General features: G+C 43.2%; 1 protein-coding gene across 16 annotated transcripts in view, besides 2 other annotated features; it reads left to right on the forward strand.

Moving 5' to 3' along the window:
• DGUOK (deoxyguanosine kinase) overlaps positions 6,267-19,150 on the forward strand; it is a 32,067-nt gene continuing 19,183 nt past the window's right edge. For 7 of the 16 annotated variants that reach the window (NR_134894.2, NR_134898.2, NR_134893.2 and 4 more), the window contains exon 1: positions 6,267-6,439. Coding sequence is in view for 6 of the 16 variants with exons in the window: in NM_080916.3 (NP_550438.1) it covers positions 6,298-6,439; positions 18,297-18,409 (255 nt within the window). In the remaining 10 variants the exon portion in view is untranslated. Of the gene's footprint in view, positions 6,440-11,984; positions 12,071-18,296; positions 18,410-19,150 lie in introns of all 16 variants that reach the window. The other 9 variants (NM_080916.3, NM_080918.3, XM_011532647.3 and 6 more) reach the window with 2 other exon arrangements.
• Positions 6,299-6,568: an enhancer, noted in NCBI's record as "active region_16036". NCBI's record gives its function as "activates an Ori minimal core promoter by ATAC-STARR-seq in GM12878 lymphoblastoid cells {active_cell/tissue: GM12878}" and the evidence as "EXISTENCE:reporter gene assay evidence [ECO:0000049][PMID:35858748]".
• Positions 16,725-17,224: an enhancer, noted in NCBI's record as "H3K4me1 hESC enhancer chr2:74164465-74164964 (GRCh37/hg19 assembly coordinates)". NCBI's record gives its function as "activates a minimal SCP1, AML or CMV promoter by ChIP-STARR-seq in naive H9 embryonic stem cells {active_cell/tissue: H9 hESC(naive)}" and the evidence as "EXISTENCE:reporter gene assay evidence [ECO:0000049][PMID:30033119]".

A 19,150-nucleotide genomic window follows, 5' to 3' on the forward strand; every position in this document is an offset into this window, starting at 1 on the left:
AATTTTACAAGTATTTACTGAATTTTTGGCATCTGGAATTGCCGGGTAAGGCCACAAGGGATTTATGTTTCCAACAAAGATGATTCCTGCCCATTAGGGTCTCACTGCATACAGGCAGAGATAGACACATGCATACAAGACAGTGACACGAAGTGAAACAAGCGCCTAAAAGTACTATGAGAAAATAAGGGATGATAATAATAGCTAACATGTATTCAGGCCAGGTTAAGAGTTTTGCATGGATTTCCTCAATTAATCCTCACCACAACCCTATGAGGCAGGTACTAGCATCATTTCCCATTTTATAGCTAGTTTACTGGTTACTAGGTCACCCAGCTAGTTCACCTTAGAACTAGATCCTCACATTGGGCTGGTGCACCTTTCACCTCCCCACCTAGCAAAGTCCCAGCCTTCGTGCCCCCATCAGATCCCACCTGGTCCATGAAGCTTCCCAGACATACCCATTTGGAGACAGTGGAGTCCAGTGGTTAAGCGCAGACACTTCAATGCCAGACATTCCTTTCACCCTCCCAGCACTTGATCTCTGTGGGTGGGGTGGGATGGAGGAGCGGCTTTCATAAGCCCTTAGGGGATTTCTGTGTGAGGACCAGAAGCAGACCCTGAAATGAGGATTCCCTGCAAACGACTTATTAAAGAAGTGCTCTGAGGACAGCTGGTAAGCAGAGTGCGGGGGAGGGGGGCGCAGAAGAGGAAAGGGGAGGAAATCTGTCAAGGGGGTAATTGCAGATAATGTCCTGGAGAGGGCAGCTTCAGCCTGGCCCCGCCCACTGGGAGCTCTGGAGTCTAAGGTTAGCCTGGTGAAGGACAGGGAGCCAGGCTTTCACAGTCCCACCTGCCAGTGGTTGGTGAGGGCGCTCCCTGGGAGGACTGAAGTCCTAGGCTTTCCACCTGTATCGGCAAAGGCCTCCTCCAAAGAAGAGCTGCAGGCTCTGGTTGCTGGAAGAGAAGGCACAGGAGGAGGCGGGAGCGATCTGAGATGTAGGGCACCGACACTGCGCTATAGAGGGGCATCCGGACCTCCACATGGAGAAGGGCAGGCTGCCCAGACTGTTCCCACAAACCCCCCGCACCCATCTGACCTCCCTTCCCCATCCTTCCACCCCTACTCCAGTCTTACTCTATTTCAAGTTTAAAAAATGCTGACCTAGATTCTTCAATGGATATGGAGTTATCCACTGACAGAGAGAGGGACAGTGGCTTGAGGAAAGTGGAAATCCAACTGGAAGTCTATTAAAGATCGACAAAAGTCAGGTGTGATGGTTCACACCAGTAATCCCAGCTACTTGGGACGCTGGGGTGGGAAGATCCTTTGAGCCTAATTCAAACCAGCCTCTGACAAGCGAGACCCTATCAGAGAGAGAGAGAGAGAAACAATGTCCCAGGCACTGAGGGCCTAAGAAGGCAGCCATTACTTATTATGTGTTATATAATGTCTATTGGGTGGTAACTGTGTGGCAGGTGTGGCAGGTGGATTCTCTCTCTTAATCCTCACCCCCAGGTCACTGGAATCCAGAGCCCACACTGTTAACCACCTTTTGATACGTCTCCCTTTATGATTAGGTGTATCAATACAGTTCATTCAGGGGAGCAGAGCCATTATGGGTATTATGGGAATAAGGGCTTTATTACAGGAATGACACTTTCCCCAAAGACTGAAGGAGCTGGAAAAGTGAAAGTCTGCAAGGAACTGTGGGATACTCCAAGAGGAGTCACAAATGGGTGGAGGACTAGGTGAAACCTATCTGCTGGGCACCTCTGTCTGTCATAGCATCTGACTAGAAGATTTCCACAGAGGAATGGCTGACACTCCCACTCTGCCTTCCAAATCTCACCCCAGGTCCTCTTTTGGCCAACTCTAACTCAGAGCCTTGTTGGTAGGGCGTTCTGGAAGTGTACTTTCCAATTTAACCAAATCGATTTAGCACAATCCAGCACATTATAAAATCTTCAAAGTAGGTGAGATATAGCTGGCTAAAAGTCCAGGCTGCAGAATAAAGTTTGGGCCACATTTTTGTATGTTTATCTCCCTTTTTTAATGGCTGCATGACATTTTAAATAATATTGGTCAGTATTTTATGTATACGGTAGCATTTAGAAACACTGGAAAAATAGTAAATCCTTCAGAGCTGCACTTCAAGGACTAAGCAGAGTGTCTGGCATGCAGTAGATGCTCAGCAAATATTGGATGAATGAATGGATGCTGAATGACTAGAGTTCTTGCAGGACAACATTTTGCCCAGGACAAAATCGCCCAGGGGCAGGAAGTGGCCTCGTTCTCCCAGGTAAGGGGGAGGTAATTCTACTCACCAATATGCCACTACTTTCAGTCTTCTGGCTAGCACCCAAATGGGATGAAAACTCCGTGTTTACTGCTTCGAAGAGGAAATGATCACCACCTCTTTGGGGTGTCTTCTTTCCTCATGAAGATCCCCTTAATTGTACTTCCTCATGTGCAAAAGTGGGGCCCCAACCCTCTTCCTTGGCCACAGCTGATTGAACCATGATTAGATACCTGAACACAGCTGGGCCAATCAGATTCTCCCTTCTGGGAATTTGGAATTGGGACCTAAATAAATAAAAAACATTTAACAAAACAAGCATAGATAACTAAAGGGGGGTAGAAAGATTATTACTAATGAATTAAGATAACTGACAGGCAACTTAGGCAAAAGATATTTTAGTTTCTTACATTACACTCTACATCAAAAAAATTTTGAATGTTTTTAGAGGCTGGGTGCTGTGGCTCATACCTGTAATCCCAGCACTTTGGGAGGCAGAGGTGGGTGGATAACTTGAGGCCAGGAGCTCAAGAGCAGCCAGGCCAACATAGCAAAACCCCGTCTCTACTAAAAATACAAAAAATTAGTCGGGCATGGCACATGCCTGTAATCCCAGCTACTTGGGAGGCTGAAGCATGAGAATCGCTTGAATCTAGGAGATGGAGGTTGCAGTGAGCCAAGATTGCCCCACTGCACTCCAGCCTGGGCAAGAGACTCTGTCTCAACACAAGAAAAGAAAAGAAAAGAAAAGAAAAGAAAAGAAAAGAAAAGAAAAGAAAAGAAAAGAAGCAAACCACAGAGATAAAATATTCACAAAGGACTCATCCAGAATATTTGAAGAATAAGACAAGCAAAAGACAACCAATAGAAAAATGGACATAAGACTTCAACAGAGGATACTGAAATGACCAATAAACATACAAAAAGATGTTTGACTTCATTAATCAGCAGGAAAATGCAAATTAAAACCACAATAAGTTATAATTACACACAGCAAAATGGATAAAATTTAAAAAGCTGACAATATCAACTGTTGGTAAGAATGTGGGAAAACCAGAACTCTCTCTCACTGATGATGGCAATGTCAACTAGAACAAACACTGTGGAACTATCTACTATTTGGGAATATCTATCAAAGCTGAGCATATATATGTAACTTATTACACAGCAGTTCCAGTCTTACTTATACACCCAAGAGAAATGCATACTTCTTTTTACCAAAAGACATGTACAAGAATATTTACCGCAACACTATTCATTATGGCTCAAATCTAGAAACTTCCGAGTACATTGTGGTATAGTGACATTGTGGAATACTATACAGCAATGAGAATGAGTGAACTACAACTAATACATTCAACCTGGATGAATCTCACAGATATGTTAAATAAAAGAAGTATTTACTATATAATTCCATTTATATAAAGAAAACGCAAAACTAATCTCTACTGTTGAAGTCAGGCTAATGGTTATCTTTGAGGGATAGTAACTGGCAACGAATATGGGGGATTCTGGAGATGCGGATAATGCTGTTTCTTGATCTGAATCCAGGTAACAGTCATTCCATTTGTGAAAACTTCATTGAACTGTACACTTACAACACATCCTCTTTTCCTCACTGCACAACACATCCTCTTTTCCTCACTACATACTATGCTTTACCATAATTTTTTTTTTTTTTTTTTTTTGAGACGGAGTCTCGCTCTGTCGCCCAGGCTGGAGCACAGTGGCGCGATCTCGGCTCACTGCAAGCTCCGCCTCCCCGGTTCAGGCCATTCTCCTGCCTCAGCCTCCTGAGTAGCTGGGACTACAGGAGCCCACCACCACACTCCGCTTTTTTTTTTTTCTCTCTCTTTAGTAGAGACAGGGTTTCACCATGTTAGCCAGGATGGTCTTGATCTCCTGACCTCGTGATCCGCCCTCGTCAGCCTCCCAAAGTGCTGGGATTACAGGCGTGAGCCACCGCGCCAGGCCACTTCACCATAAAATTTTTAAAAATAATTTTTAGGAGCTCTGTTACTGGTGGAGGGTGCCCAGGTTCTTGACATTTTGAACAAAGAATTGGACAAAACGTACAAAGCAAGGAAACAATGAAGCAACAAAAGCACAGATTTATTGTACATCAAAGAACACTCCTTGCGGTAGGAAGGGCCCAAGCAAGCAGCAATTACAGAATTTTCTGGGGTTTAAATACCTTCTAGAGGTTTCCCATTGGTTACCTGGTGTACACCCTATGTAAATGAAGTAGTGGCCAGCGATCAGTCTGATTGGTTGCAGGAGGGGACCAATCAGAGGCTGAAGTAAAGTTATGAAGTTATACCCCATGCAACTAAAGACTTGGCCTGCCACCAGCCTGACTGATTGCCCGCGGGGACCAGTCAGAGGTACTTTCAATTTTTTATCTGCCACCCAGAAGAGGGATTAGCTTCTGGTCCTTTTGTTACTTGGGCTAGAAAGTTGGGGTTTTCCTTTTGATTTAGTTCTAGGAAGTCAGCCTAAATCGGCCTTAGGTTCCCTGTCTCCAGACCCTATTTTCCTGCCTCGTAGCTTTTAGGAGATTAATGCCTGCCTGCAGACAACTTCCTCATTTAACTTTCACAACACCCCTGAGGCAGCAAGATCCTGGCGAGGCAGAGAGCCTCTCAAGCTTTTTTGGATGAATATTTTCCAAGTCTGAGTTTACATAGGTAAAGAAATGTAAGCAGTTTTTTTTTTGTTTTTTGTTTTGTTTTGTTTTGTTTTGTTTTGTTTTAACAGAAGTGGCTGCTGGAGTGGAGATGGGAATGGGTAGGACTTTAGCCGCTCCAGTAGCCATTAACGCCCCACCCTGGTTATCCTTAAAAAATTCGATTAAAAAAAAAGTTCTTAATATATAAACATGACCTCAGCCATCCTATATATACATCAACATAAGAAAAAGGTCCCGTGCTTTTTATGGGAACAGCTTCAAGACAGGTATCCCAGCCCCCGGCCCCTCCCCAGCCCCCTTGCAATCAGATCCTTGTCTTCTAAAACCTGCCACACCTAAGAGCGCTGCCTGAAGGCCGGTTTGGCCTGTTGACTCCTGGTTTTGACTGTTGGTGATTTAAGCGATTGGAACTGGAAGCACCATTTGACAACATTTTGTAAATCATTACTTCTGAGGTTGTTATGACGACGGGGTGTGGCAGTCCGGCTTCACCTGTGGCAGCAGCTTAGGTCCCTGCCCTCCTGCAGAGCACACTTCACCGACAGCAGGACTCAGGTTTTATACAAGTCTCTACTCGCCATTGCTTACGTCCAAGAACCCAGCCTACCAGGTTTAAACAATTTCCAGTCACATACCTGAGCCACCACCACCTTATCCTGAAGGGATTTTTGGGTATAATGCAAATCGATTGACCGAACATTTATTTACTTATTCAAGACACAAACTAAGAGATGGGGTGTAACTGATTATCTAATTTGTTAATTTAGTCAATAATATGCCAGCATTGTGCAGGGGAATTACAGGGAATAGGAAAAAGTTAAATTTGTGTAAATCATCAGATTGAGTCATTTTCCTACTTTAAAACTTCCATTTTCTTCCGATATTAAAATAAAAACCAGACAACAAGCACCTGGGGGGGGGGAAATCCCCTCTTAAAATTACAATTTCTATTTTTAATTTTGTCTTCAGTTATAAAATTTATTTTAAAGTTATACAAAAATGAAGTGGTTGGATTGTGGAATTACGTCTTTTAAAATGTTATTTGTCCAATGAACAAAAACCACTCGCACCGCAACTCCTTTTACTATCAAATTCTGCACCGTTGCAAAACTTCCTTCACTCAACGCTTCTTTACAAACATCGCGATAGCGGAGCGGTCTCTTGGGCGCACCCCGCCGCATGTTCAACCCCACCCACTTCCTGTCTGACGATCTCCTTACGTCAACGGTGCGCTGGAGCGAGTGAGCAGCGATACCTAGGGCGGAAGTGCTCTCGGCGGAAGTGATCGCTGTGTGAATCGTGGGTGGGATGGCCGCGGGCCGCCTCTTTCTAAGTCGGCTTCGAGCACCCTTCAGTTCCATGGCCAAGAGCCCACTCGAGGGCGTTTCCTCCTCCAGAGGCCTGCACGCGGGGCGCGGGCCCCGAAGGCTCTCCATCGAAGGCAACATTGGTAAGGGCCGGAAAGCGGCTGCCAAGCCTTGGCCTCCGCCACGCAGGCGACAGAGGCTGGGAAAGGAGCTGGGCCCGGAATGGCCTGCGTCTGATGCGGCCGGCCTCTTTTTCTGGGCTGCGAGGAGAGCCTTTCCCCTCGCAAAGTGCACTGTGTATCTTTGCCTCCTTGTTTTTAGGATATCGGGCCTCAGTACCCGCCCACAGGAACATATTTGTTGGGGCATAAAAGCCACGCAGTTAGTGGATAGGACAAGAATTGTATTAGCTGTTTGTAATAGATCGAAATTGAAGCGACAAGCGGGTGCAGTTTATTTGTTCTCCTAGATAGGGTTGCCATATTTAGCAGAAATTAAAAATAATATCCAGTTAAAATAGAATTTAAGATAACGAATAATTTTTAGTGTGTGTCCAATGCAATATTTGGGACATCCTTACAGCAAAACAACAACGAAATCACTCATTGAAAGTTCAAATTTAACTGTGTCCTGTATTTTATCTGGCAACCCTATTCGAAGAGAGTTCCTAAATTTCAGTCGTTCAAATACCACATTCACAATTTTTGCCCTGTGCCTGTGCTAGTTGCATAATAATTTCTTAAGGCTTTTCTTAGAAGAACCTCACTTTTTAAACTTAAAAACATGTATTAAATTAAAAATTATTTTGTTAAAAGAGTGAGATCCAGTATCTTGAATAAAAAGTAGTCAGAAAGCAAAATGAAGGCAAAGCATTTCGATTTAATATTAATAAATTCTGACTTGATACTTTTATCTACCAAGTCACTGAGCCCCTAAAAGGGGCTTAGCAAGTGTTGAGTACTGAAGACGTAGCAGCAAACTGAGAATTTCTTTTTTTATTCATTCAACAAATCACCTTTTGAGCCACTTCCATATGCCAGCACTGTTCTTGGCCTGGAGAATACAGCTGTGAATAGAACAAATAAAAATCTCTGCTCTCATGGAACTCAAGTAGGGAGAGATGGACAATAAACAACATAAATTAAGCAAGGTGAACAATATGTTAGAGAGTAATAAGTATGATGGAGAAAAATTAGGGATGAAGAATTGAGGGAAGTTTTTATTTTATTTTATTTGAGATGGAGTTTTGCTCTTGTTACCCAGGCTGGAGTGCAATGACACGATCTCGACTCACTGCAACCTCTGCCTCCCTGGTTCAAGCGATTCTCCTGCCTCAGCCTCCCGAATAGCTGGGATTAGGGGCACCCGCCACCACACCCAGTTAATTTTTGTTTTGTTAGTAGAGACAGGGTTTCACCATGTTGGCCAGGCTGGTCTCAAACTCCTAACCTCAGGTGATCCGCCTGCCTCGGCCTCCCAAAGTGCTGGGATTATAGGCGTTAGCCACTGCACCTGGCCGAAGTTGTCATTTTAAATAAAATAAGCAAGGCCTCACTGAGAAGGTGACATCTGAGCAAAAAACTGAAGATGAGGGAGCAAATCACGTGGATACCTGGGAGAAGAATCTTCTAGGCAGAGTGAAGAGCAATTGGAAAGGCCCTGAGGTGGAAAGTGTGTTCGGGGAATAGGAGGGAAATCGTTGTGACTGAAGTCGAGTGAGCAAGGATGGGAGGGAAATTAGGGCAAAAGCCCAAGGGGTGGCCAGATTTTATAGGCCTTATCATGGGTTTTTAATCTTACCGAGATGGGTAGCCATTGGAAGGTTTGAGGAGTCAAGTGACAGTTTTACTTAGATTATAAAAAGATCACTGTGGCTGATAACATTGAAAGTGAAGAGTGTTAAGTGGTATTGCAATAATTATAGTATTGTGAAAAGTGAAAGTGGTGAGACGTGATTGGATTCTAGTTATACGTTAACAAAAATTGAGTTACATTTTAAGTAAAATTTAACAGTGGAAGTGGTGAGAAATGATTGGGTTCTAGTTATATTTTAAGATAGGGCCAATTGGATTTGGTGACAGGTTGAATGCAGAGTGTAAGGTAAAGAGAGGGGCCAATGATGACTCCAATTATTTTGACTTGAGTACTTGAAAGATAGACTCCTGATTTTCTTTTATTTCCTCCTCTCCTTCTTCCTCCCCTCCCCTCGCTTCCCCTCCTTTGGTGTGGTCTTGCCCTGTTGCCAGGCTAGAATACAGTGATGCAATTGCATCTCACTGCAGCCTGCCTCCCAGGCTCAAGCCATCCTCCCACCTTAGCCTCTTGAGTAGCTGGATCCACAGGTGTTTGCCACTATGCGTGGCTAATTTTGTATATTTTTTGTAGAGACAGGGTCTCACTATATTTTCCAGGCTGGTCTTGATCTCCTGGGCTCAATTGATCCTCCTGCCTTGGCTTCCCAAAGTGCTGGGATTACAGAAGTGAGCCTTGGTTTTAAGCATGTTAGGTTTTTACATGCCTATTAATATCCAAGTAGAGGTGTTGAATAGGTAATTGGATATGTAAGTTCAGAATTAGGGTCTCCCCGGACTGGAGCTGTAAATGTAGGTGGTATTTAATGCCAGAGACTATGTGTTGATGGAAAGGACTGAGCCCTGAGCATGCAAATATTATGAAACTGGGGAGATGGGAAGGAATAAGCAGAGACTGAGAAGGAATGCCTACTGAGGTAGGAGAAAAAAACAAAAGAGAATGATATCCTGGAAGCCAAGTGAAGAAGGTATTCAGTGGGAGGGAATGATCAGCTGTGTTATACTGTTTAAGTAAATGAAGGTCTTTGGTGAACTTGAAAAGAACAGTTTTAGGAGTGTTAGGAGTGAAAGCCTAATTGGTATAGGTTCAAGGAGAATGGGAGGTGAGGAGAGTGGGTTAAGATAACTGGAAGTTTTTAGAAAGGGAAGTCATGGGGTGGTAGCTGAAATTAGAAGAGGGTGTGAGTGTTTAACATTTTTAATTTTCTTTTTGTGAAAAGAATTAGAGCATGTTTTTAAGTTGACAGAAGTGGTCTAGTGGAAAGGAGGAAAATTGGTAAATCGGGACAGAGGATAGAATTGCTGGAGTGATTTTTAAGCAAGAAAGAATGGAATCTATTGCCCAGTGGGAAATAATTTAGTCTTAGCTAGGAGCACAATTCATCCCTAGTAACAGGCGTGATGGCAAAATATATGAGCACCAACTTCAGAGGGTGTGGTGGGAACTTGGGAAGGTCTTTTGGTTGTGTCTGTTTTCAGAGTGAAGTAGGAAGAAAGGTCATCAGCTAAGAGTGAATGTAGAGACAGAAGACATGAAATACTCTAGTGAATAAGCAAGAGAAATGTTGAATTACTGGGTACCATTTAGGACCCACTTGGAGTTAGTGGTCATGAATTTAAAGTGAGACCAGTCACCATGGCTGTGTGTTTTTCTCCAGCCAAATCCGAAACATTGAAAGGAATGGGAAGGGAGAGTCCTGCTATTTGCCTGATGATGTTATTATTTAAATATGATGTTTTGTACTGTACTTTGAGAAACACACCCCTAAAGGAAGCTCTGTCCTCAAATCCCAGAGAGAGAACAGGGTATGTCACAAAGTAAGTACTTAGGACAGGTCATCAGATAAGGTTTGAACTCCCTCTATTTTCCTGACTTTTGCTTCTTAACCTTGTCAAATTTCTCTGCTTCTTCCTTGCTTTCTTGTGCAACAGAGGCTTACTGAGTGAGGACTAAGAGTCCACTCTCATGCTGAGCACAGCAGTGAATGGGATACAGCTCCTGTCCTTCAAGGAGCTCACAACTCACAACTAAGTAGGAGAAAACAGATTCGACATAATTTTCTTTTTTTTTTTCTTTTTTTTTTTTTTTTTTTGAGACAGAGTCTTGCTCTGGCACCCAGGCTGCAGTGCAGTGGTGTGATCTTGGCTCACTGCAGCCTCCGCCTCCCAGGTTCACGCCATTCTCCTGCCTCAGGCTCCCAAGTAGCTGGGACTACAGGCGCCCGCCACCATGCCCAGCTAATTTCTTGTATTTTTTAGTAGAGACGGGGTTTCACCATGTTAGCCAGGATGGTCTCAATCTCCTGACCTCGTGATCCGCCAGCTTCGGCCTCCCAAAGTGCTGGGATTATAGGCGTTAGCCACCGTGCCTGGCCGACTCGACATAATTTTCATACTGTGTGGTGAGATTTGTGATTGGGCATGGAAAGCCAGAATCTCTGGGGTAGGAATTCCCAAGAGGAAGAAGAGGGAAAAGTGTTTCAGCCATAGAAAGCAACATGTGCCAAGGTGGTGAAGCCTGAAGAAACACATGCAGTTTTTTGGGGGTTTTTTTGTTTGTTTGTTTGTTTTTTTGATGGAGTCTCATTCTGTCACCCAGGCTGGAGTGCAGTGGTGTGATCTCATCTCACTGCAACCTCCGCTTCCCAGGTTCAAGTGATTCTCCTGTCTCAGCCTCCCAAGTAGCTGAGACTACAGGCATGTGCCACCACGCCTAGCTAACACATGCAGTTTTAATGAAAGAGAAGTAGTTGGATGTGCCTGGAGTTGAAGGGACCTGTGAAAGGGTGGCAGAACAAGAGGTTGGAAGGGTGGGATTTGCCATATGTCGAAGAGCCTTGTGGACCATGCTAGTTTATCCTGTTGGCAGTGGGAGGCTGTTGAACACTTGAAGCCAGTGTGTGCCATGACCAGATTAATTTAAAAAAGGAAATTGTGTAGGATGAGAAAGAAAGCTCCATAAAACAGGCACTTTCTTTGTATATTTTGTTTGCTGCAGTACCCATAGTGCCTTGCATCCAGTTTGTTGGATGAATGAATAGATGAATTGGAACAGAGTTGAGTCTGTGCACTAGTTTTGTGGCTATTGGAGTAATTGGAGGGAGGAAAGATGCAGGCCTGAATAGAAGAACTGAAATGACAGAGAAGTGACGGTTTCAGAGAGATTTTGGAAGCGGGATTGACAGGATGTGGTGGCCACTTGGAGGTGAGGTAGGAGGAGGAGTAGAGGAGGGTGACACTGAGGTTCATGAGGATGGGAATAAAGGAAGAGGCGGTCTGGGGAGGTTAGAGTGATATGTTTTGTATGAGGTGCCTGTGAGACATAGAGGTGTTCTGAGACAGATTGGAATATGTGCCTGAGGTCAAGAGAGTCCGGAGATGGGTGCTGAGATTTCAGATGTGGAAGTTGTTGACTGGTGGGTAGAGGGGTAGTTGGTGAAGCCTTGGAAGTAAATGCAATTGCCCAAGAAAAGGGTGATGCGAAGTGGAATGGGAGGACCTAATCTGACTCTTTTTACTTTCATCTCCCACTACTCTTCATCACCCCACACACCCTGATGACTCTCCCTAGACAGAATTAGTCACTGCCTCCTCTGTGGGCTGACATAACATTTTGTACCCACAACTGCTGCAGCACTTGAGTTCTGCTGAGCTTGTTTGCACATTCACCACCTTCCTTGGGCTCTGACCACTCAGTGTGCTGTTCATCTTTGTATTGCTGACACCTAACCCCCGCCTTGACCCAGTGTACTCAGTACTGACCAGATTCTTGAATCCTGTGCTATGATATCCATGTGGAAGTTAGGCATTGGTACCCACACAGGGAATGTATTAAACTGCTTTTTAAATCAAGAGTGATCATCTTCTCTAATCACAGGTAACATCCTCAAGCAAATCAGAATGAGAGCACCCATTCAGGAAACCTGAACAGGGAAGGTGAACCCCTGTCCTGACCAAAATTGGGTATGTTTAGAGGGCTTTTCTTGTATTCCTTCTGCTCTAAGTCCTATTATTCTGATCCTGAAGGTGCAGACAGCGGCATGTAAGGAAAATTGATCAGTGAAGTAGCAACTAATGGCATCTAGCATGACTTACGAAGCCATATAAGATGTGTGATTGAAAGTCAAAAGCTTGGTACCTAGAACCCCTGAAAATCTAAAAAATAAAACACCTAGCCTGTCTTTTAAGACTGTTCATCCCTACAGTGTATTATCATCTTCTTGTGATTATCTTACGATTACAAGCGTAAATTGAAGAAAAGATTGCTGTATGAAATCTCACTGTCAGTGAGTCATCTCAGCATTTTTACCTTATTTTCAAAGACCCAACCAGAAAAGAGGAAACTCTTTTGCACTTTTCAATCAAGAAACTTAAACATAAAGCAGTAGAGGGCTTCCCTAATAACATGTTTCCTCCAGCATTCAAAATTAGTGACTTCACATCACTAATATGTGTCTTACTTATTTTAAGTATAAATGATTGGGCAAAGAATCCTTGGGAAAAAATAGCCTATTTATTTCAAATACTGTATAGTGGATTCTCTGTGCCTGTGACTCACCTCCTTCCCTCCATCACTGTTCTCATACTCAGGATGCAAAGGTTCAGTCTCTGTCTTCAAAAGTGAGCTCCCAGTCTAGCTGGAGGGAGTGATGAGTGAACAAATAATTACAGCGTAATCCTTTGGTAAACCAGAGCAGGCAGTAATTAACTCTGCCTAGAGATGAAGTGGCGCTGGAGAGAGTTCAAGGAGGCTTCACAGAGAAGGTGGCAGTGGAAAGCTGAATCACCTGGTAGGCAAGGCGGGAGGAGGGGATGTCAGATCAGTGAGGGTCTTTTGTGCTGAGCAGATGAGTTTGGATCATAGGAAGGTGTGAGAAAATTTTTTGCCTTTTTTTTTTCGTAAACAGTTTTTCATGAAAAAAGGTCATCAAAGTAAAATGTATTAAGTTTTTTTTAAGCCTGCTGACTGATTTTTATTAACTTTGCCTAGAATGCCTTTAAGCTTGGAGCCTGTATGATCCTGGGTACTCAGTCTTGGGGTTGGAATATAACTTGAGGGCAAGCTCTCAGCCTAGATCATCATTTCAGTTATAGTACTTACCTCTGAGTAGCTACTCCATAAACATTTGTTGATTGAATGAGTGAGTGAATGAATGCAGCATCAAATACAGTATCTGAAATAAAGACTTCAATTTTTTTTGGAAGGACTTTTTAAAAAAGACATTAGACAGTTTTATATGTTCTGACTTTGTTGGATTTTGGTAAAAGATTTCAGAATTGGATTTTTTTTCTCATGTTTTTCATCTTGTTCAGGAGATGAAAATGCCTAGAGGTGATAAATATAGGCTCCTATGAAATACAGCTGTATTAGACGTAAAATAATGGGATCTGTTATTTTGGGTATTACATCATATGCTATCTTGCTGCTAGATTTTAGCATTACATAGCTATGGTAGGCATTGTCAGTTTATAGAAAATTTTGTGGGGAGAAAAAAACATGCCTTAGAAAAAGATGAGTGGTAACAACAGAACTCTTTGTCCCAGCTTGTGGAATGAGAATAGTGGAGCTAATGAAAATCAACATGTTGAAGTAATATACTCTTAAGAAAGTACCTTCCACCTTTTTTTAAGGTTGTGGCAATATAACAACAGAGAACACTGGTGGCCAGGGTCCTAAGGGAAGGTTTGATGCTGCTTGTAAGTTCTGATACCTTCCAAAATTCATAATACTGAGAGTATATTGAAAGACAGGCCGGGCGATGTGGCTAACCCCTGTCATCCCAGCACTTTGGGAGGCTGAGGCGGGCAGATCACCTGAGGTCAGGAGTTCAAGACCAGCCTGGCCAACATGGCGAAACCCTGTCTCTACTAAAAATACAAAAATTAGTCAGGTGTGGTGGCACGTGCTTATAGTCCCAGTTACTCGGGAGGCTGAGAGGCTGGAGAATCAGTTGAACCCGGGAGTTGGAAGTTGCAGTGAGCCGAGATCACCCCACTGCACTCCAGCCTGGGCAATAGAGCAAGACTCTGTCTCAAAAAAAAAAAAAAAGGAAAGAAAGATAACAGCAGTGGCCCGGCGCAGTGGCTCACGCCTGTAATCCCAACACTTTGGGAGACCAAGGCAGGTGGATCGCTTGAACTCAGGAGTTTGAGACCAACCTGGGCAACATGGTGAAACCCTGTATCTGCCAAAAATACAAAAATTAGCCGGGCGTGGTGGCACACACCTGTAGTGGTCCCAGCTACTCAAGAGGCTGAGGCAGGAGAATCGCTTGAACCCAGGAAACAGAGGTTGCAGTGAGCCGAGATTGTGCCACTGCACTCCAGCCTGGGCAACAGCTAGACTCTGTCTCAAAAATAAATAAATAAACAAACAATATATTGGACAGGTCAAACATACTGGACAGCTACTCAGGAGGCTGAGGTGAGAAGATCACCTGAGCCCAGGAGGCAGAGGTTGCTGTGAGCCAAGATCACACCACTGCACTCCAGCCTGGGTGACAGAGAGAGACCCCCATCTCAAAAGGAAAGATAGCAGCTAAGCTGGGATCTAACTAAATTGCAGTAAGTCTGAGATAGTGATATCATAAGAGATTGGCTGAAGAAGTATGGCTTTCTGTAGACAGGGGTGTTCTGGTCACTAGGAGGAGGCTTCTGAAGCAATGGAGAGCAAAACACCACCACTCTTAGGAACCCCCTGTGAACATCTTGAAACATTTGTCAAAACAAACAAACAAACAACACCCCAGCAAGAAGGGAAAAAAAAAATCTATGATGATCAGGTATCACAGCACTGAGAAAGTTATACTGTGTCTGGCTTTAATAAAACCATGTAACTTTGAATTATTTTTTAAAGTAATTATTCCACATCTGTGGGTGGTACCTGGCACAGCTCAGTTCCAGTGGAATTAGTTTAAGAAATACTGCCCTGTAGTGAATTACCCAGGCTCTCCAAGGCTGAGAAACATGGATGGCACAGCTCTCAGGACATTTCACCACCATTTACTGTCATTGTATGCTGAAGCTGCCTTGTGATTACTAAACTAGCTTTCCAGAAGCCTTGGAATGGGGCATGGGTTACAGAGTACCCTGAGTATTAGGTGTTATTGTTCCAGTCATTGGAACTGTATATTTCCTGTTACATCTAATTTGTTGGCATTCTAGAATTAATGTGTTTAAATTGCATGAGTCAATTTCTTGGAGTCCTGACTGCTCTTAGATGAACTAATAGTGTCTGACCTCAGAGCCCTTCCTTTCCATCTGCAACAGTTTTTTAAGGTAATTGTTTTTAACTTTTAAAAAATATAAGTAATTCTAACAATTGTTCAATCCCAGCCATCTAACAAATCAGCTACGTTTATCTTTTCATTTAATTAAAATAGCTTTTTAGCTATTAAATAGCAGGGACCATATTTTAGACTTGTTAAACAACCTACAATCTAAATATTGACCATCTGGGCCAAATATTTTAAGCGAGGGCTTACTCAGGGCAGACAGGTATCTGATAATATACACATTCAACCACTTCGCACCTGACCAGTGTGGTAGGAATTCAGAGCTAGAGAAGTCCTGAAGAAGTGGCACCTTAGGCTTGCTGGGGGAAAGGATTTAGACACAGGCCTGGAAGAGCAGGGGAGGGCATTTATTCATTGGAGTGTGGGAAGAGCAGGGATCGAACAGATGTGAAGAAGCACACACAAGTTAGGTGGAGGTGGGGACTGAGAGATGAGCGTGACTGTACAAATCCACAGATTCATGCTGTTTGTTCTTATCCTGCCTATTCAGAGAGGAGTTGGGGTGGCATGTAGTAAATGTCATCTATTAAATGTGTGGGTTCTTATGCTGAGACATCAGCACCCCAATCAGTAACCATAAGTGGAAGGATGCCCCCCTTCTTTCCCTTGAGAAAGATTACTTCTGATAGAGGAGATTGAGGTCCAGATACAGTCTTAAGATTTATTTTTTATTTTTCACAAATGTAGGTTTCAGAGGGAACTGAAATTAGTAATATATTGTGTATTTTATTCATTCAGCTAGGTCATTAGGTTGTAATTTGTTTTCTACCCTGGAGGAGCCCCATCCTGTAGCTGGAGAAACACAATGACAATTGCAGTGATGGAGTCTCACCCAGAATACCAACCATGCAGAAAGGAGGACTAGCTAATCCAGCTTAGAGGTGTCAGGATCTGGAAAGGCTTCACACAGGAGGTTCATCTAAACAGAACCTTGAGGATTGAGTAAGAGTTGGTCAGGTGAGGAGAGGAGGCGCTTCAGGAAATGGGAAAGCATATGCAAAGTCATATTTGCAAGAGAACATGGCATGATTGGAGTTTGGTCCTGCAGGAGGGTAGGCTACCTAAAGGAAAGCCAAGGCCAGAGAGGCATACACAGGGATCAGATCTTCTTGTGTCTTGCAGACCATGTTAAAGAGTTTGGAGTTTGTCATGAAGCTTGTTCAGGTCTTAGCTCAGATGTCACTAACTTCCCATTGCACTTAGAATAGAATTCAGACCTCTTACCATGGCCACAAGGCCCTATGTGATCTGGCCCCGGACTGCCCATGTGGCCACACCCATCTTGAGCCACTCCTCCATTGCTTGCCCTTGCTATAGCCAGTTAGCCGATAGAGAGCTGTCAAAAGATTGTAAGCAGTGTTATTTCATATTCAGTCTGGCCACAGTATGGAGCATGGATTGAAGAGAGCAAGGCCAGCATCAGAAAGGCAAGAGATGATAAGAGGCTGGTCTTGAGCATGGAGGTGGGAATGGAGAGAAAAGGACAAATATGAAAAATGTAGAAGCAAATGCAGAAGGATTTGGTGGCCACTGAGGTTTGGCAGAGGAGGGACTTCTGTCAGTGAGTGGATGGTGTGTTCATACCCTGAGGTCTGGGATACAGGAGGAAGCTCAATTTGGTGGGAAAGATGATTAGTTCATTTAGGAAATATGTTGACTTTGAGGTGTTTGTGGAATGTCCCAAGTGGAGATGTCTGGAGAGTTCTTGAATAGTCTCTGGAGCTCATGGAGGTATGGGCCAAACATTGGTATAAATGGGAAAAGATAACTTGAATGTTGTGGTACTAGGTTGATTTCATCTCCAAAATATTTCTCGAAACAACCACTACTTTTCACTCCTCTGCCATCACCTCGGGGCAAGCTGCTATATCTTTTAACTAGTCTGCCTGCTTCTGCTTCAGCCCATTCTTACACAGCTAGTGGAGTGATCTTCTAAAAATGAGAAGGAGTCTTATAATTTTCCTACTTAAAACCAATCTTCACTAACTTCCCATTGCCCTTAGAATAGAATTCAGTCTTCTTACCATAACTACAAAGCCCTGTATGACCTGGCCCTGGACTCCCTGTCTGGCCACACCCATGTTGAGCCACTTCTCCATCACTTGCTCATGCTGTAGCCATACTGTATGGCTTCTTCTAGGGCCTCAAACTTCTGTATTGTTGTGTGTCAAGTTCTTTCTCTCTTTCAGGTCTTTGCATATGCTACTCCCTTTGCATGAATTGTCATCTTTTAGGTCTTACCTCAGATGTCATTTTTTCAAGGGAGTCTCCTCTGACCTCCTGGGCTATATTAGTGCCATCCTGCATTTTTTCCTAGCACCTAACACAATATGTTAGTAGTTAATTGTGCGTTTGTATCACCCATACAAGCTCTGTGACGACAAAATCCATTCTGTGTTTTGTTTACCATTGTACCCACAGTTCCTGACAGTCCTGAGCTCATAGTCAGCACTCCATGAATATTTTTTAGATTTGTTGAATGAATGAGATTATAATCATTTTTATTTTTTGTCTTGAAAAACTTAGAAATTTTACACTGTCACAGTACAAATAGAATGGTGACTCAAGTGATAGAACTTATGGAGCTGATTTCATCTACTTTTACATTTTCAACTGTTATTAAATGCTCTGCCTCTGGAAGGTTGAGACATGGAAATTGCAAATTAAATCTTAAAAGGAATTTTTCCTCCCTATTGGCTGTATTCATTATGGTGGTTCTGGTTAGCATGAATTGATCTGTTATCAGTCTGACAATGGTACGGCTGCTGAGTTTGAAATTCAGAAAACTAATACTTGTTCCCTTGAGTTTGGGCGTTTGTGGCAGAGTTTAGTAGCAGCCTTCTCCTTCAGCCCTGATTTGGGAAGCATCCCAATACATGCTATTTGCATTGCAGCTGTGGGAAAGTCCACGTTTGTGAAGTTACTCACGAAAACTTACCCAGAATGGCACGTAGCTACAGAACCTGTAGCAACATGGCAGAATATCCAGGCTGCTGGCACCCAAAAAGTAAGTTTTTAGTTGTGGTGGGTAGTTGGCAGGCATGGGTGAATAATCTAATTGTCATAATTTAATTTACTCTCAGTGAGTAAAGTAGCCCAGTTTGAGTATCCTTTTTAAAATAGCTTCATTCCAGAAAGCAGACCACATACACCAGAGAGGATATGACTTGTTTGAATATGTGCAGTTTTGATTTTTGTGGTTTTTATATGTCTATCTAAGTGACTGCCTCTGTTGTTTGTGGTTTCCCAAAGCATGTCCAACCATCATGGATGGCTTTGAAGATGAATTTTGTCATTCCTACACTTAAGTATTTATATTATTACTTAAGCTAACCACTAGGATTAATAGCTAATTATAGTGATTTTAACTTTTTAAATAAAGTCTTAGAAATTAGAAGGGATATTAGAGAGGTTCCAGTCACACTTTGAGTCAATGGGAGAGGTTACAGCTAACATTTATGAGCATGTACTATGTGCCAGGCACTGTACTATGCCAAGCACAGTACATTTCACTTACACCTCATGGCTTAGGCCCTGGTGTCAAGACTATGGCTTTGGCAGAGGCCATAGAGTTGGTTTCCAGCCACATCAGTCTGAGTAAGGAAAGACTTGTTTCGACATGACCCTTAGAGGGAGCAGAAGCACCATGCCTCCTCAGGCACCATGAACTGCTCCTGCCGCCACCTGGGATATTCACTGAGTGGCACATTCTGGTTCTTAACTCTAATTACTAAACAGTTCTGCCTTT

Source organism: Homo sapiens, chromosome 2, assembly GCF_000001405.40.
Source record: "Homo sapiens chromosome 2, GRCh38.p14 Primary Assembly".
Taxonomy (NCBI): Eukaryota; Metazoa; Chordata; class Mammalia; order Primates; family Hominidae; genus Homo; species Homo sapiens.